Below are 24621 nucleotides of genomic sequence, written 5' to 3' on the forward strand. Positions count from 1 at the left end.
CCGATCCATCCTTAGTGGCCAAACAGCCTGCAACTAAGGTCTGCTGACTCCTATCCTCTCACTCCACAGGGCCTGAGCTAGCCGAGGTTTAAGAGACTCACTAGAGAGAGGGGGTTGCCTAGCCCTCCCTGCACTTCATTGCTTTCTCTCCTCATAAGGATTCAGAACCTAGGATTGGAGAGGGATCTTAGTAATGGCTGGCAGAAACCTGGCCTCTAAGTGGATGGGATTCCTTACTGACAGTCAGTGGGACAGGTGAGGAGAAAAGAGACAGTGCCGGAGTCAGAAGGACGAGGTTCCAGGCCTGGCTGGGTCCCTAGGACAACTCATTTGACCACGCGGGCTGGAGACGGGTGGGCTGCATGAAGTCTGGTAGGCTGTCTGTGCCTTTGCTACTGCTGGGATACAGAGGTCTGCCAGAATCCTCAGGCTACTCTCTCAGCTCTCAAAACCCTTATCCCTTGGCATGGGTGGTTTATCAACCTAGCCCTTTGTGGGGTTCCCACTGCCCTGCCCTCTCCCCAGAGGAAATGACTTCTTGGGAAACCTAGGACCCCAGGCAGAACCAGGCAGAACTGGTTGTCTGTGAGCTCACCTTTGTCACGTGTGAGCCCTGTCTACACAGCTGCAAGCTCTCACCCACCCCTAACCCAACCAGGCCTATCTTTCTTTCCTAGAGGTCAATAAGCACCCCAACTAAAGATAAGCATCAGAATCGCCTGGAGAATTTTGCTCCTAAGGACCCCACCCAGACCTACCCAATCAGAATGGGGGTTGAGGAGATGAGAATCTCGGTTTTACAAGCTCCTCAGCTGATTCTAATTTTTTTTTTTTTGAGATGGAGTCACACTCTGTTGCCCAGGCTGGAGTGCAATGGCGTGATCTCAGCTCACTGCAATATCTGCTTCCTGGGTTCAAGCGATTCTCCTGCCTCAGCCTCCTGAATAGCTGGGGCTACAGGGGTGTCCCACCACACCCAGCTAATTTTTGTATTTTTAGTAGAGATCAGGTTTCACCATGTTGGCCAGGCTGGTCTTGAACTCCTGACCTCGTGATCCGACCGCCTTGGCCTCCCAAAGTGCTGGGATTATAGGCATGAGCCACCACACCCAGCCTGATTCTAATTATTAATCAGACTTGAAATGAAAGCCACTGGTTCACGGAGGGATTACGGGACTCTCACTTTGAGCCTCAATGTCCACATCTGTAGAATGGCACTATATTTGTTCCTTGGGGCATACTTGGACAACAGATTTTTTTTTTTTTTTTTTGAGATGGAGTTTCACTCTTGTTGCCCAGGCTCGAGTGCAATGGCACAATCTCGGCTCACCACAACCTCTGCCTCCCAGGTTCAAGCGATTCTCCTGCCTCAGCCTCCCTAGTAGCTGGGATTACAGGCATGTGCCACCACGCCCGGCTAATTTTCTATTTTTAGTAGAGATGGGGGTTTCTCCATGTTGGTCAGGCTGGTCTCGAACTCCCGACCTCAGGTGATCTGCCCGCCTCAGCCTCCCAAAGTGCTGGGATTACAGGCATGAGCCACCGCGCCCGGTCTGGACAACAGATTTTTAAAAGCTACTTTGAAAGACTGCTCAATACCGTCCAGGCCCGGTGGCCCATGCCTGTAATCCTAGCACTTTGGGAGGCTGAGGCAGGCGGATCACTTGATGTTAGGAGTTCAAGACCAGCCTGGCCAACATGGTGAAACCCCGTCTCTACTAAAAATACAAAAATTAGCCAGGCGTGGTGGCACGTGCCTGCAGTGCCAGCTACTCAGGAGGCTGAGGCAGGAGAATCACTTGAACCTGGGAGGCAGAGGTTGCAGTGAGCAGAGATCGTGCCACTGCATTCTAATCTGGGTGACAGAGTGAGACTCCATCTCAAAAAAAAAAAAAAAAAGACTGCTCAATACATTGTATTGTTAGTATTTCCATTTCAAAAAGCAGCCTTATTTGCAAAGACTCCTCACTGAGTTTTTAACTCTCCCTCCAGTAGGATAGACAAAATCCTCCTTGAGGCCCTCACTTCAGCTTTTCACAAGCCTCCTAAACCAGGTGCATTTATAATCGTGCTATTTTGACCAAGCTGTTTGTTGTTTTTCAAGAAAGCCACAGAATCCTGGGAACGCTTCTGCTGGCTTCTCATCTCCACCTCCTCCCAATGCTCCACCTTCTCCTTCATGCCTCGACCCACGGGCTCCTCCACCAGCTACTTCCACCAGCCGCAATGAGAAATTTCCAAAGGGCTGCAGAGGCGCCCCAAGCAGAGGCATGCGAGCGAGCTGGCTGGCCTTCAGGGGTTTCCATCCTGAATTCTGGGGTTCTTGGAATCATACCCCCACCCCAAGATCTGGTTCAACTTCCCAAACCCGACCAGGGTGACTTGCCAGACCGAGGCCCTGGGAACCGGTGCTCCAGACGGAACCGCCTGAACGGGGAGGGGCAGGTGGCCGGGAGTGAGTGCTCATTGACTTTAAATTGCAGGTTGCGGCATTGCGCTCTATTCTGATGGAGTGCAGTCCTGGAAGAGGCAGGGTTTATGCACGGTCAGGGCCCTGGCCACAGACACTGGGACATGGGGCCTGATCACCAACTCCAGAGGCCTGAGTCACCTGGGACATGACACCAGCCCACTCCTGCTCAGAGGTCGGCCAGTCTCCCCACCAGGGTTGTCTTGCGGCTGCCGTGTTGCACATTGTGTCTATGTGATGAGTGCTCCCTGGAGCACTACTCTCCAGAAGACACATGTTCATGCAGACTCTAATGGTAGCAGCATCCTCTGGAGTTGTGCAAAGAGGCAGCCCTGCTTCTTCTTCTTTTTTTTTTAATTAAAAAAAAATAGGCCAGGTGTGGTGGCTCACACCTGTAATCCCAGCACTTTGGGAGGCCAAGGCGGGTGGATCATGAGGTCAGGAGATCGAGACCATCCTGGCCAAAATGGTGAAACCCCATCTCTACTAAAATATGAAAAAATTATCTGGGCATGGTGGTGTGCACCTGTAGTCCCAGCTACTTGGAAGGCGGAGGTTGCAGTGAGCTGAGATCACTCCAGCTTGGCAACAGAACAAGACTCCGTCTCAAAAAAAAAAAATAGAGATGGGGGTCTCACTATGTTGGCCAGGTTGGTCTTGAACTCTTGGCTTCAGTCAGTCCTCCCACATTGTCCTCCCAAAGTGCTAGGATTACAGGCATGAGCCACCACACCCAGCCCTACTTCTACCAACAAGGGAACACTTCAAAGCATTTTGAGGGGAGTGACTGCTTCATGGGTAAAGGACCTCCATGGGAGTTAGGAAAGGTGTTTTGGAACCAGATAGAGGTAGTGGTTGCACAACATTGTGAGTGTACTAAATGCCACTGAACTAACTGTTCACTTTGAAATGGTTAATTTCTCTCCCTCCCTTCCTTCCTTCCTTCCTTCCTTCCTTCCTTCCTTCCCTCCTTCCTTCCTTCTTTCCTTCCTTCCCTCCTTCCTTCCCTCCTTCCTTCCTGTAATCCCAGCTACTCAGGAGGCTGAGACCTGGGCAACAAGAGTGAAACTCTGTTTCCAAAAAAAAAAAAAAAAGGCCAGGTGCGGTGGCTCACGCCTATAATCCCAACACTTTGGGAGGCCTAGGCGGGTGGATCACCTGAGGTTGGGAGTTCAAGACCAGCCTGACCAACATGGAGAAACCCTGTCTCTACTCAAAATACAAAATAAGCTGGGCATGGTGGCGCATGTCTGTAATCCCAGCTACTGAGGAGGCTGAGGCAGGAGAATCACTTGAACCCAGGAAGCAGAGGTTGCAGTGAGCCGAGATCGTGCCATTGCACTCCAGCCTGGGCAACAAGAGCGAAACAGCGAAACTCCGTCTCAAAAAAAAAAAAAAAAAAAAATTCCCTACAACAGATCAGCCCTCTGCAAGATTTCACGTCTCTCCCCAGTTTCCTGGGCTAGGTCGCTGACTATATTCCAGAGGAAGAACTGGATTGGCTTAGAAGCCCCATTCCCAGACCCCAGCTGAGGAGGAAGGGAAATGGTCAGATCTGTCCAAGGCTCTTGGCAGCACTTGCCATAAAGAGGATGGAAAGGTAGCATCAGGGTCCTCTTGAAGGCACCCCATAGGCCCCACTAGATCCTGGGAATCTAGATGCGGGTGTCTGCAATTCTGGAAAAAGCCATGTGCTTTTTGTTTTTGTCTCACTATGTCACCCAAGCTGTAGTGCAGTGGTACCATCATAGCTCACTGTAACCCTGGCCAGGCTCCAGCGATTCTCCTACCTCAGCTTCCTGAGTACCTGGGACTAAAGATGTGTGCTACCATGCCCAGTTAATTTTTATTATTTATTTATTTATTTATTTATTTATTTGAGACAGAGTCTCGCTCTGTCACCCAGGCTCGAGTGCAGTGGCAAGATCACGGCTCACTGCAACCTCCGCCTCCCGGGTTCAAGCAATTCTCCTGCCTCAGCCTCCCAACTAGCTGGGACTACAGGCACGCGACACCACGCCCAGCTAATTTTTGTACTTTTAGTAGAGATGGGGTTTCACCATGTTGGCCAGGATCGTCTGGATCTCTTGACCTCGTGATCCACCTGCCTCAGCCTCCCAAAACGCTGGCGTGAACCACTGCATCTGGCCAATTTTCTGTATTTTAGTAGAGACGGGGTTTCACCATGTTGCCCAGGGTGGTCTCAAACTCCTGAGCTCAGGTGATCTGCCCACCTCAGCCTCCCAAAGTGCTGGGGTTACAGGCATCAGCCACCATGCCTGGCTAATTTTTAAATTTTTTGTAGACACGGGGTCTCACTATGTTGCCTAGGCTGGTCCTAAACTCCTGGCTTCAAGTAATCCTCTCACCTCCAAAGTGTGTGGGTTAAAAGTGTGAGCTGCCACAGCCAGAGAAGCCACGTTCTTGCCTCATCTAGCCATTCATTCATCCATCCATTCATTCATGTATTTATCCAAGGAACATTTGCTGAGCCTTTTCTATGTACTGGGCACAGTGCTGGCTACTTGAAGTTAGGATGTGTAGAACGCCATCCTCAAGTAGCTTACTGTCTAGTGGGAAGACCAAAGTGGAAAGAATTATTAACAACAAAGATATGCACTGGCTGGAAAGATGCCCTGAGGAAGGCACCTAAGGGATGGAGTGTCGGGATGAGGGTGCTAGGGGAGGCTTCCTGGAGGAAGGGATGCCAGAGTTGGGTGGCCAAGGCTGCTGGTGGAAGCATGTCTAGGCAAGCCCACCTTGGCCTGAGGGGAGGAGGAGCGGGTGGGTGGACACCAAATGCAGGGTTTCTAGGTTTTGTGAGAGCTCCAATGAGGTCTGGTTCAGAGGCCAGGAGATGGAGCGTCCTCCTGACCAGAAGGGCCCCATTTGCAGAGCTGTGGAGTGAGGGGGTGTTCGGTGTAGGGAGGGTGGTTACAAAGTCTTTCCAGCTCCAGCCAGATGGAAGGGAATCTACCCTCCACCTCAGGACAGGATGGACCAAGGCCCTGCACTCTGGCTCCTGGGAGAGGCTAGCAGTTAAGAACCCCCACTTTACCCTCCTCCCGACCTTTGAGATTCTCCTGGCATACAGGCCTTTTCTCTATCAGGGGTTTTAGCAGTTGTCACAGGGGAAGACACTGACCACTCCCAACTCCCCCAGGCCTCTGCCAGGCCTCCTTGCAGGAGACTTTACCCTGGAACCCACTCCCTCCTACTTTAGGAAACACTTCCAACAATAGGACTGCCTTCTTTTTTTTTTTTAATCGCTTTTTAGAAACACAATGAGACAATAACACTAATAGATTTCTTTTGAAAAGAAACAAAATTACTCAGTGCGCATTAACCAGCCCTTCCCATTTGAGACAAGTTGTTTTATTAACAGAAGGAGACAGTGAATGAAAAAAAGGTGCTTGGAACACTGTTGGGCAGTCTTGATGGTGTTTGTTGAATGAATAAATGATTCCTAATAACTGACCTTTCCAAACCGGACCCGGATTCTTTTCCTTATGAATATCTACTTAAAAGGAAAAAAAAAAAAAGCCTGTGCTTTCTTTAGGTCAGTGTTCCACATTTTCCTGAATTTTTTTTCTGTCCAAAAAAAAAAAAAAAAAGGCCAGGCGTGGTGGCTCACGCCTGTAATCCCAGCACTTTGGGAGGCCCAGGCTGGTGGATCACCTGAGTTCAGGAATTTGAGACCAGCTTGGCCAACATGGTGAAACCGTCTCTCTACTAAAAATACAAAAATTAGGCCGGGCGCGGTGGCTCACGCCTGTAATCCTAGCACTTTGGGAGGCCGAGGCAGGCGGATCACGAGGTCAGGAGATCGAGACCATCCTGGCTAACACGGTGAAACCCTCTCTCTATTAAAAATACAAAAGATTAGCCGGACGTGGTGGTGGGCACCTGCAGTTCCAGCTTCTCGGGAGGCTGAGGTAGGAGAATGGTGTGAACCCGGGAGGCGGAGCTTGCAGTGAGCCAAGATCGCACCACTGCACTCCAGCCTGGGTGAAAGAGTGAGACCCCATCTCAAAAAAAAAAAAAAAAAGAAGAAGAAGAAGAAAAAACATCGTAACTCTTGTTTCCTTAGGGTGTTTAGGTGTCCCGCCCAAATCAGCCTGGAGGAAATGTGAATGTTCCTGATGGATTAATTCAGATCTTCTCTCTGGCCAGCAGGAAGACACACCCATGCAGGTCACCTCTGTAAGAGTGATTTCAAGAGTATGTCATCTACTCCAGCCCTCCAAGAACAACTAGCCGCCTTGATCCAGTGTCTTTTATTATTTTTAATTTTTATATCCCCATTGTTAAGCAATCTGGTGTCTTTAAGGCTCCAACAAGCGACAGAGCTTGAAGAATGGGAAGAGAAGGCCTTGAAAGTCCCAGTGGCTCACAAACTATTCCATTCTGCAGCTGTCTTTAAGATGTCTCCTGGATCCCCTGATTTCTTTTTTTAATCCATAAATTTGTCTCCATAAGTGGGTCTCCCACCTGTCAAATGAGAGTAGGGTGCAGAGCTTGGATTCTGGTTCTTTCAGGTTCTAAGTCTTGGCCCAAGTGTCAGCTTTTTCTTTTTTCTAAGTTGGGGTGGGGATGGGGGTTGCGGAGGGCAGTGGCCTGACATCTCCTGCAAGTGTCATTTGTCACGCGAAAGCAAGCCTGACCCGAGGCAAGGCCCGCCTATCTGGTTAGGTTCCTTGCCCGCCCCCGGGGCCCTGGGCATCTGATGTAAGTTTGGCTCCCTCTTCCATCAGGGTCCTCCTGTCCCAGACTGATAAACCTTTAGAGCAATAAAGGTCGAGTCCGTCTCAACCTCCACCCACCCTCAGCAACCACTGTTAGCCTCTGAGCACTGCTGCCAGGCCAGATTTCCTGTGGCCCCGCCTGAATGATGAAACACGGGATGGCCATTGCACTCCCTGGCTTTTCCAGAGATCTCGGTCCTCGGTCCTGATGCAACCGTCTGGATCTTTTACACAAAGCGCTAGGCGAGCGCTGGGTGCTAGGACCCGGGGGGCGCCCGGGCAGGGAGGTCCGGCTGCGCTGCCTGCAGTCCGCGGGGAGGGCGGATGGGTCTGTGAGTCCGACTGCTGTGAATCCTCGCTTCCATCCCTGCACTGGGCGCTATGAACCCGGGCCCATCCACACTCCTCTAACCACTCTCCTCAAGCCCTCTCCTTGGGAGCAGTTGGAAGTGGAAGCAGATAGGGTTTGGGAGGAGGCAGGGATCCCCATTAACCTATGTCCTGGGCTGTAGAGTAACAGCCAGGATGGGCAGGTGGGGCCTTGGGGAAGGGGCAGCATGGTGCCCGGAGCTTCCCAGTCTGTGGACCCCACCCCCATATCCCGAGCCTTTGCAAAGCAGGGATAGAGGGGGTAAGGGCGCGAGGGCAGGCCGGGCTAACGTCTGCTCCTGCGCCGCCGTCCCACGGGCATCCCCCCCGTGTGTGCCCAGTTGTTCCCGAAGCTTTAGGATCCAAGACGCTGGGGGCAACCATTTTCCTTGCCCGCCGCCCCCTCACGCTTCCCTGCCTCTCCTCCTAGCCTGGTCACGGGCTGTCCCCTCCTCCAGCAATGCAACCCTATAATAAACAAGTCTTTCCTTGATCCTCCCCTGCCGCGAGCGCCCTCGGGGACCTTGGCAGCTGCAGCCGCCGCGGATCCTTTCCAGAAAGGGGGCGTGGCGGTGGGTCGGGGTTCGACTGCGAGCTTTCTGGGGCTCAATGGAGGCGGGGCCCGGCCGCTGTCACCGGGCAGGAGAGAACGTTGCTTACGTGCGCCCGGAGTCCATTGGCCAAGGCGGGCCACACTCCCGGGTCTGGATTGGGTCGTGGCGCAGAGAAGGCGTGGCCTCGCCGCGCTAGTCCTTATAGGCTGCTCCGCGCTGGTGCTAGGGCGCAGCAGGCCAAGGGGGAGGTGCGAGCGTGGACCTGGGACGGGTCTGGGCGGCTCTCGGTGGTTGGCACGGGTTCGCACACCCATTCAAGCGGCAGGACGCACTTGTCTTAGCAGTTCTCGCTGACCGCGCTAGCTGGTGAGTGTCCCTTCTGTGTGTGGGTCCTAGAGCTCGCGGTCTGGTCTGGTCTGGTCCCCAGACTGACGCCTGGTCGGTCCCCCTCTTGTCTTACAGCGGCTTCTACGCTCCGGCACTCTGAGTTCATCAGCAAACGCCCTGGCGTCTGTCCTCACCATGCCTAGCCTTTGGGACCGCTTCTCGTCGTCGTCCACCTCCTCTTCGCCCTCGTCCTTGCCCCGAACTCCCACCCCAGATCGGCCGCCGCGCTCAGCCTGGGGGTCGGCGACCCGGGAGGAGGGGTTTGACCGCTCCACGAGCCTGGAGAGCTCGGACTGCGAGTCCCTGGACAGCAGCAACAGTGGCTTCGGGCCGGAGGAAGGTGAGCGGTGGGCGGGTGCCGACGCGACTCGAGGGGCCGGGAAGGTGGGGAAGCCCCGGTGCTGGAAGGGGTCAGAGCCGCCTTGGCTTCCTATCCCATCGGGACCCAGATTGCTTGGGGGCAGGGGGAATTGGAGTATAAGGTGAGTGAGGCGGAAACTGAGGCACGGAGTGGGAAGGAGCGTTGGTTTCTTAAGGAAACAGCACCTCCCCCGCCTGTGCGTTTCGTTTTGAAGCCGCTCTAATACCCCTTCCTGTGTGCTCTCCTTTCCAGACACGGCTTACCTGGATGGGGTGTCGTTGCCCGACTTCGAGCTGCTCAGTGACCCTGAGGATGAACACTTGTGTGCCAACCTGATGCAGCTGCTGCAGGAGAGCCTGGCCCAGGCGCGGCTGGGCTCTCGACGCCCTGCGCGCCTGCTGATGCCTAGCCAGTTGGTAAGCCAGGTGGGCAAAGAACTACTGCGCCTGGCCTACAGCGAGCCGTGCGGCCTGCGGGGGGCGCTGCTGGACGTCTGCGTGGAGCAGGGCAAGAGCTGCCACAGCGTGGGCCAGCTGGCACTCGACCCCAGCCTGGTGCCCACCTTCCAGCTGACCCTCGTGCTGCGCCTGGACTCACGACTCTGGCCCAAGATCCAGGGGCTGTTTAGCTCCGCCAACTCTCCCTTCCTCCCTGGCTTCAGCCAGTCCCTGACGCTGAGCACTGGCTTCCGAGTCATCAAGAAGAAGCTGTACAGCTCGGAACAGCTGCTCATTGAGGAGTGTTGAACTTCAACCTGAGGGGGCCGACAGTGCCCTCCAAGACAGAGACGACTGAACTTTTGGGGTGGAGACTAGAGGCAGGAGCTGAGGGACTGATTCCTGTGGTTGGAAAACTGAGGCAGCCACCTAAGGTGGAGGTGGGGGAATAGTGTTTCCCAGGAAGCTCATTGAGTTGTGTGCGGGTGGCTGTGCATTGGGGACACATACCCCTCAGTACTGTAGCATGAAACAAAGGCTTAGGGGCCAACAAGGCTTCCAGCTGGATGTGTGTGTAGCATGTACCTTATTATTTTTGTTACTGACAGTTAACAGTGGTGTGACATCCAGAGAGCAGCTGGGCTGCTCCCGCCCCAGCCCGGCCCAGGGTGAAGGAAGAGGCACGTGCTCCTCAGAGCAGCCGGAGGGAGGGGGGAGGTCGGAGGTCGTGGAGGTGGTTTGTGTATCTTACTGGTCTGAAGGGACCAAGTGTGTTTGTTGTTTGTTTTGTATCTTGTTTTTCTGATCGGAGCATCACTACTGACCTGTTGTAGGCAGCTATCTTACAGACGCATGAATGTAAGAGTAGGAAGGGGTGGGTGTCAGGGATCACTTGGGATCTTTGACACTTGAAAAATTACACCTGGCAGCTGCGTTTAAGCCTTCCCCCATCGTGTACTGCAGAGTTGAGCTGGCAGGGGAGGGGCTGAGAGGGTGGGGGCTGGAACCCCTCCCCGGGAGGAGTGCCATCTGGGTCTTCCATCTAGAACTGTTTACATGAAGATAAGATACTCACTGTTCATGAATACACTTGATGTTCAAGTATTAAGACCTATGCAATATTTTTTACTTTTCTAATAAACATGTTTGTTAAAACAGTTGGTTGAGTCTCTCATCAGTACCATGAAGTGAAAAGGAGGGAGATGGGTGCTAGTGAAAGGCAGGTCTCATCAGGCCCTGGGGTCCACCTGTGTGTTCCTCCATCCCTTTCCGGGACTGCCTGCCAGCCTGGTGACAGAGGTATGTGTACCGTGTGCCATCTGTGCCAAGAACCCTTGGCCCTGTGCTGGCTGAAGCTACTAGGAGAACACACTGGAAACCCCTGAAGGTAGGGGGTGAGTCAGACCTCCCACCGAGCCAGAGTCTCCAGAGGGAGAGCTCACCTGGCTGCCCCGGTTAGAAGGCCCAGACAGGAGGGCCCACTGAGCCCAAGGTCTTTAATAAACAGTGAAAGAACTAGAAAATACCTTTTTTCTTTCTGGGAGAAAAAAATCAGTTGTTCTACCATCATGAAAATTACAAATCTTATCTCTGGATTTAAAAAGACTAAGAGGGGGAGTTTGAAAAATGCTACTTAGCTCATGCCTCTCACTGGACAAGGAACCAAGAGGGGCATGAGCTGCCACTGGAAGGAAGTCTGGACCAGGCAGGTGCAGAACTCCTTGCACACACACAGGTGAGGGAAGGAGTGCTAAGGGCTTAGAGAGCAAGGAAATAGCAGGCCTACCTTAACGATACCTTGGGTCACCCAGACGTCCTCTGTGACCTGTTGTCCCAGCCACTTGGGATGCTGAAGCCAGAGGATTGCTTGAGTCCAGGAGTTCAAGGCTGCAGCCTGGGTGACAGCAAGACCCTGTCTCTAAAAACAAAAGATGCATTGTGCATTCTGGGCCCTAAGTTCCTTGTCAGAAAAATTGGCAAATTGGAGTTGGGCCAGATGAAGCCCAGGGCCTTTCCCCCTTCTTCCCTGGAATTACATCCACCCACACCAACTGGCATTTGGAGAGTTTTTATCTCCCTTGTTTCTCTTCCTGGTCCCAGACAGGCCTTGTTTGCTCAAGACTAAAACAGTGGCTCTTGCACTTGAGCGTGTGTAATCAGATCACATGGGCCCTCCTGGAGATTCTCAGTGCATCCGGGCCAGGGCCCCAGGAATCTGCATTTACATCAGGGATTCCAATAGAGGGTCCTAAACTTTACGATGACTTGGAAGACCCATCTCTCTTTGGTAGAACTGAGTGATTTGTTCCCCAAAATGGATAAACTTGGATTAGAAGTGCATTTGGAAATGGATAGTGAGAACAGTGAAGAAGGTGCCCAGACCAGTGTGAGGAAAGCCCTCACACCCATTTTCTTAGCACATCCTCCTAATAGCCACCCTGTGAGGGGTGGGTGGCGGCAGGGGTTTTTAATGTTTTACAGATTAGTAAATGGAGGCCCAAGCCCTGGAATGGTCATCTTCTTGGATAAGGGCTGACTTTGTCCACTCCCAGCCTATTGAGATTCAGGGCTGGGAGTAAAGCAAGCTTGACACCTGGGCTGAGTCTGAAGGGCACTTTCCCGGGAACTGAGATCTGTGCCAATGCTCACGACCCTGCCTCCCCAGTCTCAAAAGAGAAGCAAGGAAACAATTGTCTTCAGAGTACAGAGTCTTGTTGGTATTTGGGGGCCTGAGCTGGATGGATTGGTCAGCATTAGCCCTTCTCCAAGCCAAGGAGGCAGCTGAGCCCAGCACCGTACCTTTTCTTAGATAGTCAGACTGAGGCCAAATCAAAGCTTGGGTTCCCAAGCTAGCTCAGCTGAGATGCCCTCTCCCAGAGCCAAACTGGCTTCCCTCATTCTCACAGGGCCTGAAAATCCTCCTGCAGCAGGACAGAAGGGTCCGCAAGTGGGAGCCCTGAGCTTGAGTCTCACAGTAAAGGGAAGAGGGTTGCTGAGGCCCAAGACAGTTCTGGGTCCTGAGGTCTGCTAAGACATGGCAGGGAGCTTTGCCCCAGGTACCGGACTTGCTAAGAAAAAATGGGGCAGGCTTCTTTGTTGCTAAGCAGGAAAGCTAAGAAAGCTTATAAAGACCTACACATAAAATCAACTTTGGTAAATGCTTTCAGAAATTGTCCTATTTAGTGAGACCCTATCTGATAAAGAAAGGAAGGAAAGAAAAAAAAGAAAGGAAAGGAAAGGGGAAAGGAAAAAGGAAAGGAAAGGAAAAAGATTGCCCTATTTGGCCTGGAAAATATGTACTGATTACCTCCCTTCCTACAGGATTCCCTCTCTTATTCCTATTTCCCACCTCATCGGGTCAATGCTCTAGAACCTGCAATGGTTCCCTATTGCCAGATTCCACTGCTGGTCTTTTAGGACATTTGGTGTTGGGCCCTATACTCCCTACTGAGGCTTACCTCCCACCATTCCCCTTAACTGGGGGCAAGTCAATCTGGACTGCCCTTTTCTCTAGCCGCAGACTCCGCTCATTCTAGTGCCTTCCACCAAGGATATCTTCCTGAGTTTTGCTGGCAAGCCCTGTCCTTCCTTTAAGGCCTAGAGCAAGTTCCAGCCTTTTTATGGCTCTTTTCTGCTTTCCCTCCCCCCATCTTTCACAATTGCAGTGTGAAAACATGGCATACAATGATCTCATTGTATGCACTTGTTTTATATCCCCCTAGCTCTATAGAACACCCCTAGGTTCTCCTGAGGCCTGGCACATAGTGGTTAACTAAGCATTGGCTGTCCGAGCCTTGGGTCATGCCCTCTCTCTAAGCTCAGAGAACATAAGATTCCCTCACTAGCCTCAGACTCTCAGGCTACGAGGAGAGGAGGGCAGGGTTAGAAAGAGTTGTTGTTGTTTTTTTGTTTGTTTGTTTTTTGTTTTTTTCATTAGCCTACCACCTAGTTTAGAGGAATATTAAAGGCTAAGGTCCTGGAAGGGAGGTAGTGTCATTAGTGGCTAAAGCCACCTGCATTAGTGAAATCTGGATTCAGATCCCAGCTCAGCCATTTCCTAGCCAATGACCTGGGGCCAGTAACTTTACCTTCCTAAGCTTCAGTTTCCTCATCCGTAAAGTGGGAATGATAGTGAGGAAATGATATATATAACAACATTACTAAGGCCCCCTATGGGCAGAGGACGCCCATGACTGGATAGAGATGGCAGCCTAAGCATGGCAGGGCTGGTTTCACAGCAAGTGCCTTTAATAGGGACCACCCTTTGACTCCTGTTCCCTCTGGTCTTATGTTCCTCTAACAGCTTTTCAAAGTTACCATCTTAACAGCCATGTTGGCTGGGTGCCGGTGGTTCATGCCTGTAATCTCAGCACTTTGGAAGGCCAAGGTGGGAGGATCACTTGAGCCCAAGAATTCAAGACCAGCCTGAGCAACACAGTGAGAACTCTATAAATAAATAAATAAATAAATAAATATTTAACAGCCATGTCAACATATGACCTTAACAAATTCAAAAGAAAAATAAGGCTGGGCATGTGGGTGGGCACCTGTAATCCTAGCACTTTGGGAGGCTGAGGCAGGAGAATCGTGTGAACCCGGGAGGCGGAGGTTGCAGTGAGCCCAGCTCTCACTCCAGCCTGGGTGACAGAACAAGACTCCATCTCAAAAAGACCAAAAACAAAAACAAAAACAAAAACCAAACAAACAAAAAGGCTGGGTACGGTGGCTTCACGCCTGTAATCCCAGCACTTTAGGAGGCCAAGGCAAGTGGATCACTTGAGGTCAGGAATTCGAGACCAGCCTGGCCAACATGGTGAAACCCTGTCTCTACTAAAAATACAAAAATTGGCTGGGTGTGATGGCACATGCATGTGGACCCAGCTATTTGAGAGGCTGAGGCAGGAGAATTGCTTCAACCCAGAGGCAGAGGTTACAGTAAGCTGAGATCGCGCCACCGCACTCCAGCCTGGGAGACAGAGCAAGACTCGGTGTCAAAAAAAAAAGCATGAAAGAAAAACAAACCCTCCACTTGGGGGAAATATGTTCAGACAGCTATACTTCTAAGTTGCATTATTCTAATTCTGGTACATATTAAGCATTACATATAAGGTTCCTTTAGGCTGGGCGTGGTGGCTCACACCTGTAATCCCAGCACTTTGGGAGGCTGAGATAGGTGGATCACCTGAGGTCAGGAGTTCGAGACCAGCCTGGCCAACGTGGTGAAACCCCGTCTCTACTAAAAATAGACAAATTTGCCAAGCGTGATGGTGTGTGCCTGTAGTCCCAGGTACTCGGGAGGCTGAGGGAGGAGAATCATTTGAACCCAGGAGGCGGAGGTGGCAGTGAGCCAAGATTGCGCCACTGGGCAACAGATTGAGACTCTGTTTAAAAAAAAAAAATTCCTTTAATTCCACCTCATGGATCAGGAGGAAATGCCAAGGGGCAGAGGAGCTCAGTGAGGGATCTGCAGGACTAAGATGAGCAGTGTGTGGTCTTCTACCTCCAGGGCCTTCCGCTCAATCCCCACAAGCCCTCCCAGTTTCCCAGCTCAGGTGCAGCCTGGGTCAGCCACATCCTACTTTGGCTGCTGGAGGAAACCAAGTACTGCTGGGGCACCCCAGAGGAAGCTGAGGAAATGTGGGCACAAAAACCAGGCCCAATTAATAGACCATTACAGGACTCCGTAATTATCCTGAAATGGAAGGGCTTTTTAAGAAGGACTCACAAATTAGAGAGAAAACCATTAAACCTAGACGTGTCCATGCAGGGGCCCAGCTGAGAAGCTTCCATCTTGATCCCAGCCATGGGCAGCTTCATGGAAACTTCTGGGGCAGCAGATGCAGCCTGTGGCTATGTGGAGCTGGCGGCTCTGAATGTAGAGGTTGGTGGGCTGCATTCACTCGGTCACTCATTTATTCATTCACCCTATATACTATATAACTAACAGGTCCATGTGGGCTGCAAGAGAAAGTCAAAGTAAGTAGGAACCCTTAAGAAGCTGATATAAAAATGTTCTTTCAGCCAGGCGCAGTGGCTCACACCTGTAATCCCAGCACTTTGGGAGGCTGAGGCAGGCGGATTGTCTGAGGTCAGGAGTTCGAGACCAGCCTGGCCAACATAGTGAAACCCTGTCTCTACTAAAAATATAAAAAATTAGCTGGTGTGGTGGTGGGCGCCTGTAATCCCAGCTATTCAGGAGGCTGAGGCACGAGAATCGCTTGAACCCAGGAGGCGGAGGTTGCAGAGAGCCGAGGTGGCGCCATTGCACTCCAGCCCAGATAACAAGAGTGAAACTCCATCTCAAAAAAAAAAAAGTTCTCTCACACACATACACACATGTACATACATAATCACACACACCTACATAATCACACACGCTTTTAATAAGTAAAACGTGGGGCATAAGGAGAAGAGAAAATGGGCATACACTCAAATCTCCCTATCCCTAATTTCCCAGGAAAAACATTTTTTTTTTTTTTTTTGAGACAGAGTCTAGCCCTGTTGCCTAGGCTGGAGTACAGTGGCGCGATCTTGGCTTACTGCAACCTTGCCTCCTGAGTTCAAGCCATTCTCCTGCCTCAGCCTCCGGAGTAGCTGGGATTACAGGCACATGCTGCCACACCCGGCTAATTTTTGAGATTTCTTTTTTTTTTTTTTTTTTTGAGACAGAGTCTCATTCTGTCGCCCTGGCTGGGGTGCAGTGGTGCAATCTCGGCTCACTGCAACCTCCACCTCCCGGCTTCAAGCAGTTCTTCTGCCTCAGCCTCCTGAGTAGCTGGGATTATAGGTGTGTGCCACCATGCTTGGCTAGTTTTTGTATTTTTAGTAGAGACGGGGTTTCTCCATGTTGGTCAGGATGGTCTCGAACTCATGACCTTGTGATCCGCCCGATTCAGCCTCCCAAAGTGCAGGGATTACAGGCGTGAGCCACCACGCCCAGCCAAAAATAAATTTTTTTAACGTGAATTATACATCAATAAACCTGATTTTTTTTAAGTATATATACATAGCTGGGTATGTGGTATGTGCCTATAGGCCTAGCTACTTGGGAGGCTGATGCAGGAGGATTGCTTGAGCCCAGAAGTTCAAGGCCAGTCTGGGCAATGTGGGGAGACCCAGTCTCTAAAATATAAAAATTAAAAAAATACATATATATGCACAAAAATTAACTCAAAGTGGAAAGTGAATCATAAGTCTAAATGGAAGAGCTAAACTATAAAACTCTTAGAAGACATATAGGAGTAAATCTTCATGATCTCAGATTAGGCAATTATTATTATTATTATTACTTTAGATGGAGTCTTGCTCTGTCTCCAGGCTGGAGTGCAGTGGCATGTTCTCGGCTCACTGCAACCTCCGCCTCCTGGGTTCAAGCGATTTTCCTGCCTCAGCCTCCTGAGTGGCTGGGATTACAGGTGTGAGCCACTATGCCCGGCTAATTTTCGTATTTTTAGTAGAGATGGGGTTTCACCATGTTGGCCAGGTTGTTCTCAAACTCCCGACCTCAGATGATCTGCCCACCTTGGCCTCCCAAAGTGCTGTGATTACAGTCGTGAGCCACTGCACCGGCCAGATGCAGCCACTTTGAAAAACAGTTTGGCGACCAGGCACACTGGCTCACGCCTATAATCCCAGCACTTTGGGAGGCTGAGGCAGGTGGATTGCCTGAGGTTGGGAGTTGGAGACCAGCCTGGCCAGCATGGTGAAACCCCGTCTCTAATACAAATACAAAAATTAGCCCGGTGTGGAGGCAGGCACCTGTAATCCCAGCTACTCAGGAAGCTGAGGCAAGATAATTTCTTGAACCCGGTAGGTGGAAGTTGTAGGGAGGTGGAGATTGCAGTTAGCTGGGATCTTGCCATTGTACTCCAGCCTGGGTGACAAAGCGAGACTCCATCTCAAAAAAAAAAAAAAAAAAAAAGACAGTTTGGCAGTTCCTCAAAATGCTAACCATAGAGTTACCGTAGGACCTAGCAATTTCACTTCTAGGTATACATTCAAGATAAATGAAAATGTATGTCTATGCAAAAAAACTTGTACACAAATGTTCATAGCAGTATTATTCATAATAGCCAAAAAGTGGAAACAACCCAAATGTCCATCAACAGACAAAACAAAGTGTAGCATAGCCACACAATGGAACATTATTTGGCAATAAAAAGAAACGCAGTTCTGATACATGCTACAACATGGATGAGCTTCCAAAACATTACGCTAAATGAAAGATGCATGTCACAAAAGATGACATATTGTATGTTTCCATTTATATGAAATGTCCAGAATATGAAAATCCAGAGAGACAGAAAGTAGGTTAGTGGTTGCCTAGGGCTGGGAGTTTGAGGAAAAGAGTGGGTGACGGCTAATGGGTCTCAAGTTACTTTTTGGGGTGATGAAAATATTCTAAGACAGATTGTGGTGATGGATGCAGAAGTCTGAACATACTAAAATCCACTGAAATTTGTGATACGTAAATTATATCAATAAAGTTTTTTAAATATACATTTGTCAAAATTCATGGAATTGTACATCTAAAAAAGGGTGCATTTTGCTACATGCAAATTATACCTCAATTAAAAAAAAATTAACACTCCCAAAAAAGCATATAAAGTAAGCTCTGGGCCGGGCACAGTGGCTCATGCCTGTAATCCCAGCACTTTGGGAGGCCAAGGTGGGCGGATCACCTGAGTTCAGGAGTTTGAGACCAGCCTGACCAATACGATGAAACCCCATCTCTACTAAAAATACAAAAATTAGCCAGGCACGGTGGCATGCACCTGTAATCCCAGCTACTCGGGAGGCTGAGGCAGGAGAATTGCTTGAACCTGGGAGGCAGAGGTTGCAGTGAGCCAAGATGGGGCCATTGCACTGCAGCCTGGGCAACAAGAGTGAAACTCTGTCTCAAAAAAAAAAAAAAAAAAAAAAGCTCTGGAAGTTTAAAAAGTAAATTATAGCTCCATAATTATGGTTTCGTTTAGTGTAAATATGGTAAAATTTCACTAAGAAAAGGAAAGCAAAAAGAAGCTATGATCACTTTGGCTCAAATTTTATTTATTCTCTGTCTTGGCCAATAGAATGTCAATTTTCGTGTGCCTAGCCTTGTGTCTGGCTTATAGAAAATGCTAAAAGAACACTTGTGGAAGGTGGGAAGGATAAGAAAGACCATGATAGCTCAAGTCCAACATCTCCTGGAGAGGCCCATTTGGGCTACTTTCAAGCATTTTATTATTATTATTATTATTTTTTGAGACAGAATTTCACTCTTGTCTCCTAGGCTGGAGTGCAGTGGCATGATCTCGACTCACTGCAACCTCCGCCTCCTGGGTTCAAGTGATTCTGCTGCCTCAGCCTCCCAAGTAGCTGGGGTTACAGGCACCCGCCACCACACCAGGCTAATTTTTGTATTTTTAGTAGAGTTGGGGTTTCACCATGTTGGCCAGGCTGGTCTCAAACTCCTGACCTCAGGTGATCTGCCTTCCTCGGCCTCCCAAAGTGCTGGAATTACAGTTGTGAGCCACTGCGCCCAGCCCAAGCACTTTATTATTATTATTATTACTACTATTGTGGTAAAATACACATAATAAAAATTTTGCCATCTGACCCATTTTGAGCATATGATTTAGTAGTGTTAAGTATATTTACATCATTGTACAACCAATCTCCAGAACATTTTCCCTCTTCTACAATTGAAACTATGTACCCGTTAAACAACTTATTTCCTCCTCCCGTGGCAACCAACATTCTAATTTCTGTCTCTAGAAATTTGACTCCTCTAGGTACCTCATATAACTGGAACTATGTAGTATTGGTCTTTTTTATTTTATTTTATTTTTTATTTTTTGAGATGGAGTTTCACTCTTGTTGCCCAGGCTGGAGTGCAATGGCACAATCTTAGCTCACCGCAACCTCCGCCTCCCAGGTTCAAGCAATTCTCCTGCCTCAGCCTCCCGAGTAGCTGGGATTACAGGCGCCCGCCACCACACCCAGCTAATTTTTGTATTTTTTAGTAGAGATGAGGAGTCACCATGTTGGTCAGGCCGGTCTTGAACTCCTGATCTCAAGTGATCCGCCGGCTTCGGCCTCCCAAAGTTGCTGGGATTACAGGCATGAGCCACTGCGCCTGGCTGTGACTTTTTTTTTTTTTCTTTTTTTGAGACGGAGTCTTGCTCTGTTGCCTAGGCTGGAGTGCAGTGGCATGATCTCGGCTCACTGCAACCTCTGCCTCCCGGGTTCAAGCAATTCTACTGCCTCAGCCTCTCGAGTAGCTGAGATTACAGGCACATGCCACCATGCCCAGCTAATTTTTGTATTTTTTTAGTAGAAATGGGGTTTCACTATGTTGACCAGGCTGGTCTTGAACTCCTGACCTTGTGATCCACCCGCCTCGGCCTCCCAAAGTGCTGGGAATACAGGTGTGAGCCACCGTGCCTGGCCACTATGTAGTATTTGTCTTTTTGTGACTGACCTATTTCACTTTGCATAATATCCTTATGGTTCATGCATGTTGTAGCACGTGACAGCATTTCCTTCCTTTCTCGGTCTGCATAGTACTCTGTTGTATGCACACACCACATTTTGCTTATCCATTCATCTGTCACAGACACCTGGGTTGCTCCCATCCTTTGGCTATTGTGAAGAGTGCTGCTATGAACATGGGTGTATAGTTATCTCGCCAAGTCCCTGCTGCCACTTCTTTTAGGTGTAGACTCAGAAGTAGAATTGTTAGATCATATGGTAATTTGATTTTTCATCGTTTGAGAAACTGCCATACTATTTTCCATAACGGTTGCACCATTTTACATTCCCACCACCAGTGCACAATACTTCCAAGCACTTTCATGCCCTGTTACACCCCAGTCCCACTCCAAATACCTCAACAGGCAAGTCCTGCTGCACCCACTCCTACAAGGTGGTAAGTGGTGAGGGGCCAGATGAGAGCTCTGGATTTCTAGTATTCTAGGATGTTCTAGGAAGTCAGAGGAGAGGGTTGAGAACTGCATATTGTACCATGGGGCTGCAAGAAAGGGCAGGCTCAGGACTGGAGAGGATAAATAGCCCATATTTATGGACTCTTTCGCATCTTCAACTCACTTTACCTATCACCGACTACAAAATAGCTACTATTATTATTCCCATTTTACAGATGAGGAAATCGAGCAACATGGGGCAACAGAGAGAGCTTGGACTGGGAACGGTGAGACCTGTGGTTTTGCCTCATTTTTCCACTGACCTTGTTTCTTCATCTTTGAACTGAGGGGATGGGACTGGATGACACCTAAGAGAGATTCTATGAGGCAAAGCTCAGCTGCCAGCCGCCACTGCTGCTGTTTTCCTCCAGCCCCACCCGGTCGCCCTCCCTGGGTTCAAGCCTGGGGCGGCGCACGGGGCTCAGGGTGGGAAGAACAGAGCCTTCTTGCAGGTCACTGAGCAAATGCTTGACTGCTTTCTGGGGCATGTCCAAATCTGGAAGGAGAACGTTAAGAAGAAATTTCCACGGCCCTTCCCCCATCGGGGGATTTTCCATTCTGCCTGGGCAGACATGCCTCTCGGTTTCCCCAGAGCCAAGCACTGGCAATCCGTAGGTTTTATTGAATGGCTCAACTCAGTGCTAGGAGGAATGTTCTGGTTCTTGCCCTAGGAAAGGGGCAAGTTTGTTGAGGAGCCACAACTGATCTAGAAAGATGAAGTGGGGCTGGAGGCAGGGTGGTGCTGAATCAAGCATTCAGTCTAGAAGAGCCCCAGAGAGAGACCAGGGGAAACAGGAACGACCAGGGGCAACTTCCTAGAATAAGGGACCAGAGTTGGAGGGGCAAAGAAGGGCGGAGACTTGCTAGGCAGACAGGAGAGTGCAGAACAGACGAGGGCCGGGCGCGGTGGCTCACGTTTGTAATCCCAGCACTTTGGGAGGCTGAGGCAGGTGGATCACCTGAGGTCAGGAGTTCAAGACCAGCCTGGCCAACACGATGAAACCCTGTCTCTACTGAGAATATAAAAATTAGGCGTGGTGGCGCACACCTGTAATCCTGGCTACTTGGGAGGCTGACGCAGGAGAATCACTTGAACCCGGGAGGCAGAGGTTGCAGTGAGCCCAGATAGCATCACTGCACCCCAGCCTGGGTGACAGAGGTGACAGAGCAAGACTCCACCTCAGAAAAAAAAAAAAAAAAAAGAACAGATGAGGAAGAAAATAACGTGGACCAGCTTTACAAAGGTTGTCATGCACACAGGGACAGTGCAGTGGCCAGGAGAGAGTTGGATCCAAGAAATGGAAAGTATGGTGAAGCCGATTGCGGAATACAGAAAACAGGCAGCCGTTGCAGGGGCTGGTGCTGTGGCCTCTGCACTTGCCTGTCCCACTGCAGGGAACACTCTTCCCTCAGAGCATCCCCTGGCCAGCTACTAGAGGATCAGATTTAGCTCACTGTCCCCTGCTCCACAAGGCAGCATGCCCTGGCCACCCCTGCAAAAGCAACCATCCTCTAGCACAGCTCCGCATACATTTTCCCCCACAGCCCTTAACACCACCAGAAGTTAGCCTGTGTCTTTGTTCAGTGGCCACCTCCCTTCTACAGGATGGGAGTTCCATGAGAGCAGAGGTATTGCTGGGCTTGTTTCAAGGGCCTGGCACACAGCTAGCTCAGTCATTTTTGTTTGTTTGTTTTTATTTTTTCTTGCTCTGTCACCCAAGCTGTAGTGCAGTGGCACAAACACAGCTCACTGCAGCCTCAACCTCCCAGGCTGAAGTGATCCTCCCACTTCAGCCTCCCAAGTAGCTGGGACCACAGGCATGCACCACCACACCTAGCTAATGTTTTATTGTTCTTATTGTTATTCGTAGAGATGGGAGTCTCACTTTGTTGCCCAGGCTGGTCTCAAACTCTTGGTTTCAAGCAATCCTCTCACCTTCGCTTCCCAAAGTGTTGGGATTGCAGGTGTGAGCCACCGCATCCAGCCTCAGTAAATATTGCTGAGATTCACTGATCTGTACTTTGGAATGTCTTGGTGAAAGGAAGTCTATAATAACTATATATATATATATATTTTTTTTTTTTCTGAGCACCTACTATATGCCAGGCACTGTGCTAAGTGCCTTACAAACATTATCTCATTCATTCCTCTGAGCAACTGTATGGGAAAGGTGCCACCTGTTTTATAGGTGAGGAAACTGAGGCCAAGAGAGGTTTGTGAAGTTGCTCAAGGACACACAGAGACAGGATTCGAACCTCCACTTGTTTTTTTTGTTTGTTTTTTGAGACGGAGTCTCGCTCTGTCGCCCAGGCCGGACTGCGGACTGCAGTGGCGCAATCTCGGCTCACTGCAAGTTCCGCTTCCCGGGTTCACGCCATTGTCCTGCCTCAGCCTCCCGAGTAGCTGGGACTACAGGCGCCCGCCACCGCGCCTGGCTAATTTTTTGTATTTTTAGTAGAGATGGGGTTTCACCTTGTTAGCCAGGATGGTCTCGATCTCCTGACCTCATGATCCACCCGCCTCGGCCTCCCAAAGTGCTGGGATTACAGGCGTGAGCCACCGCGCCCGGCCTGTTTTTTTTTTTTTTTTAAGACGGAGTCTCACTTTACTGCCTAGGCTGGAGTGCAGTGGCCTGATCTTGGCTCACTGCAACCTCCACCTCCCAGGTTCAAGCAATTCTCCTGCCTCAGCCTCCCTAGTAGTTGGGACTACAGGTGCACACCACCACATCCGGCTAATTTTTTTTGTATTTTTATTAGAAATGGGGTTTCACCATATTGGCCAGGCTGGTCTTGAACTCCTGACCTAAGGTGATCTGTCCACCTCAGCTTCCCAAAGTGCTGGGATTACAGGCGTGAACCACCGTGCGCGGCGAACCTCCACATTTGACCTCCGGGCTAGCAGTGTCCAATAGAAATATAATACAGGGCTGGGTGCGGTGACTCATGCCTGTAATCCCAGAACTTTGGGAGGCCAGGGCGGGCAGATCGCTGAAGTCAGGAGTTCAAGATCAGCCTGGCCAACATGGTGAAACCCCATCTCTACCAAAAATACAAAAATTAGCTCGGCGTGGTAGCAGGCACCTGTAATCCCAGCTACTCGGGAAGCTGAGGCATGAGAATCGCTTGAACTCAGGAGGTGGAGGTTGCAGTAAGCTGAGATCACGCCACTGCACTCCAGCATGGGGGATAGAGCAAGACTCTGTCTCAAAAAAAAAAAAAAGAAATATAATAAGAGCCACATAAGTAATTTAAAATTTTCCATTAGCCTCACTAAAATATAGAATCAGGTGACATTAACTTTAATAACATTTTATTTAATCTGACATAAAAGGCCGGGCCTGGTGGCTCATGCCCGTGTAATCCCAGCACTTTGGGAGGCCAAAGCAGGTGGATCATCTGAGGTCCGGAGTTTGAGACCAGCCTGACCAACATGGAGAAATCCCGTCTCTACTAAAAATACAAAATTAGCCAGGCGTGGTGTTGCATGCCTGTAATCCCAGCTACTCAGGAAGGCTGAGGCAGGAGAATCGCTTGAACCCGGGAGGCGGAGGTTGCAGTGAGCCGAGATCGCGCCACTGCACTCCAGCCTGGGCAACAAGAGCGAAACTCCGTCTCAAAACAAACAAACAAACAAACAAACAAACATTGACATAAAAATGGTATCATTAAACATGAATCAATATAAAAATATGAATTAGGTATTTTACATTTTCTTTAACTATGTCTCCAAAATCTGGTACCTAGTTTATAGTTACAGCATTGCTAAATTTTCTTTTTTCTTTTCTTTTTTTTTTTTTTTTTTTTTGAGATGGAGTCTTGCTCTGTTGCCCAGACTGGAGTGCAGTGGCGCGATCTCCTCTCACTGCAAGCTCCGCCTCCCGGGTTCATGCCATTCTCCTGCCTCAGCCTCGCAAGTAGCTGGGACTACAGGCGCCCACCGCCCCGCCCGGCTAATTTGTGTGTGTGTGTGTGTGTGTGTGTGTGTGTGTGTGTATTTTTAGTAGAGACGGGGTTTCACCGTGTTAGCCAGGATGGTCTTGATCTCCTGACCTCGTGATACCCCGCCTGAGCCTCCCATAGTGCTGGGATTACAGGCATGAGCAACCGCGCCCGGCAGCATTTGCTAAATTTTCATCAGAAAAATGATCTGTATTTAGATTTCATAAAATTTGCAGTTGAAAAACTAGATTCATGTACACAAGTTGTTCCAAACATACTTAAACATTTTCCAATATCTGAATGGAGTATCACTTTTTTTTTTTTTTTTTTTTTGAGAGGGAGTCTTGCTCTGTCGCCTGGGCTGGAGTGGAACGGTGCAATCTCGGCTCACT

At 49.9% G+C, this 24621-nt stretch overlaps 1 protein-coding gene and 1 long non-coding RNA gene across 4 annotated transcripts, besides 7 other annotated features; one reads left to right on the top strand and one right to left on the bottom strand.

The window, feature by feature from the left end:
• Positions 4896-5396: an enhancer, noted in NCBI's record as "H3K27ac hESC enhancer chr10:74030210-74030710 (GRCh37/hg19 assembly coordinates)". NCBI's record gives its function as "activates a minimal SCP1, AML or CMV promoter by ChIP-STARR-seq in naive H9 embryonic stem cells {active_cell/tissue: H9 hESC(naive)}" and the evidence as "EXISTENCE:reporter gene assay evidence [ECO:0000049][PMID:30033119]".
• Positions 5397-5897: an enhancer, noted in NCBI's record as "H3K27ac hESC enhancer chr10:74030711-74031211 (GRCh37/hg19 assembly coordinates)". NCBI's record gives its function as "activates a minimal SCP1, AML or CMV promoter by ChIP-STARR-seq in naive H9 embryonic stem cells {active_cell/tissue: H9 hESC(naive)}" and the evidence as "EXISTENCE:reporter gene assay evidence [ECO:0000049][PMID:30033119]".
• On the bottom strand, positions 5830-8155 carry DDIT4-AS1 (DDIT4 antisense RNA 1). Of its 3 annotated transcripts, NR_186444.1 has the most exons (3): positions 8108-8155; positions 7294-7517; positions 5830-6961 (listed from the first exon to the last, which is right to left on the bottom strand). It is a non-coding gene; the product is annotated as a DDIT4 antisense RNA 1 (long non-coding RNA). The 3 variants fall into 3 exon arrangements; NR_186445.1 differs by having other exon boundaries at positions 7294-8155; NR_186443.1 differs by having other exon boundaries at positions 5830-8155.
• Positions 6865-7388: an enhancer, noted in NCBI's record as "NANOG-H3K27ac-H3K4me1 hESC enhancer chr10:74032179-74032702 (GRCh37/hg19 assembly coordinates)". NCBI's record gives its function as "activates a minimal SCP1, AML or CMV promoter by ChIP-STARR-seq in primed H9 embryonic stem cells {active_cell/tissue: H9 hESC(primed)}" and the evidence as "EXISTENCE:reporter gene assay evidence [ECO:0000049][PMID:30033119]".
• Positions 7389-7912: an enhancer, noted in NCBI's record as "NANOG-H3K27ac-H3K4me1 hESC enhancer chr10:74032703-74033226 (GRCh37/hg19 assembly coordinates)". NCBI's record gives its function as "activates a minimal SCP1, AML or CMV promoter by ChIP-STARR-seq in primed H9 embryonic stem cells {active_cell/tissue: H9 hESC(primed)}" and the evidence as "EXISTENCE:reporter gene assay evidence [ECO:0000049][PMID:30033119]".
• Positions 8156-8367: 212 nt separating the features above from the next.
• On the top strand, positions 8368-10480 carry DDIT4 (DNA damage inducible transcript 4). Its single transcript, NM_019058.4, has 3 exons — positions 8368-8504; positions 8601-8865; positions 9139-10480. Exons 2-3 carry the CDS (start codon positions 8661-8663, stop codon positions 9630-9632), a joined length of 699 nt encoding a protein of 232 aa, NP_061931.1. The 5' UTR covers positions 8368-8504; positions 8601-8660; the 3' UTR covers positions 9633-10480.
• Positions 8623-8742: an enhancer, noted in NCBI's record as "active region_3536". NCBI's record gives its function as "activates an Ori minimal core promoter by ATAC-STARR-seq in GM12878 lymphoblastoid cells {active_cell/tissue: GM12878}" and the evidence as "EXISTENCE:reporter gene assay evidence [ECO:0000049][PMID:35858748]".
• Positions 10011-10534: an enhancer, noted in NCBI's record as "H3K4me1 hESC enhancer chr10:74035325-74035848 (GRCh37/hg19 assembly coordinates)". NCBI's record gives its function as "activates a minimal SCP1, AML or CMV promoter by ChIP-STARR-seq in primed H9 embryonic stem cells {active_cell/tissue: H9 hESC(primed)}" and the evidence as "EXISTENCE:reporter gene assay evidence [ECO:0000049][PMID:30033119]".
• Positions 20963-21463: an enhancer, noted in NCBI's record as "H3K27ac hESC enhancer chr10:74046277-74046777 (GRCh37/hg19 assembly coordinates)". NCBI's record gives its function as "activates a minimal SCP1, AML or CMV promoter by ChIP-STARR-seq in naive H9 embryonic stem cells {active_cell/tissue: H9 hESC(naive)}" and the evidence as "EXISTENCE:reporter gene assay evidence [ECO:0000049][PMID:30033119]".

Source organism: Homo sapiens, chromosome 10 (assembly GCF_000001405.40).
Source record: "Homo sapiens chromosome 10, GRCh38.p14 Primary Assembly".
NCBI lineage: Eukaryota > Metazoa > Chordata > Mammalia > Primates > Hominidae > Homo > Homo sapiens.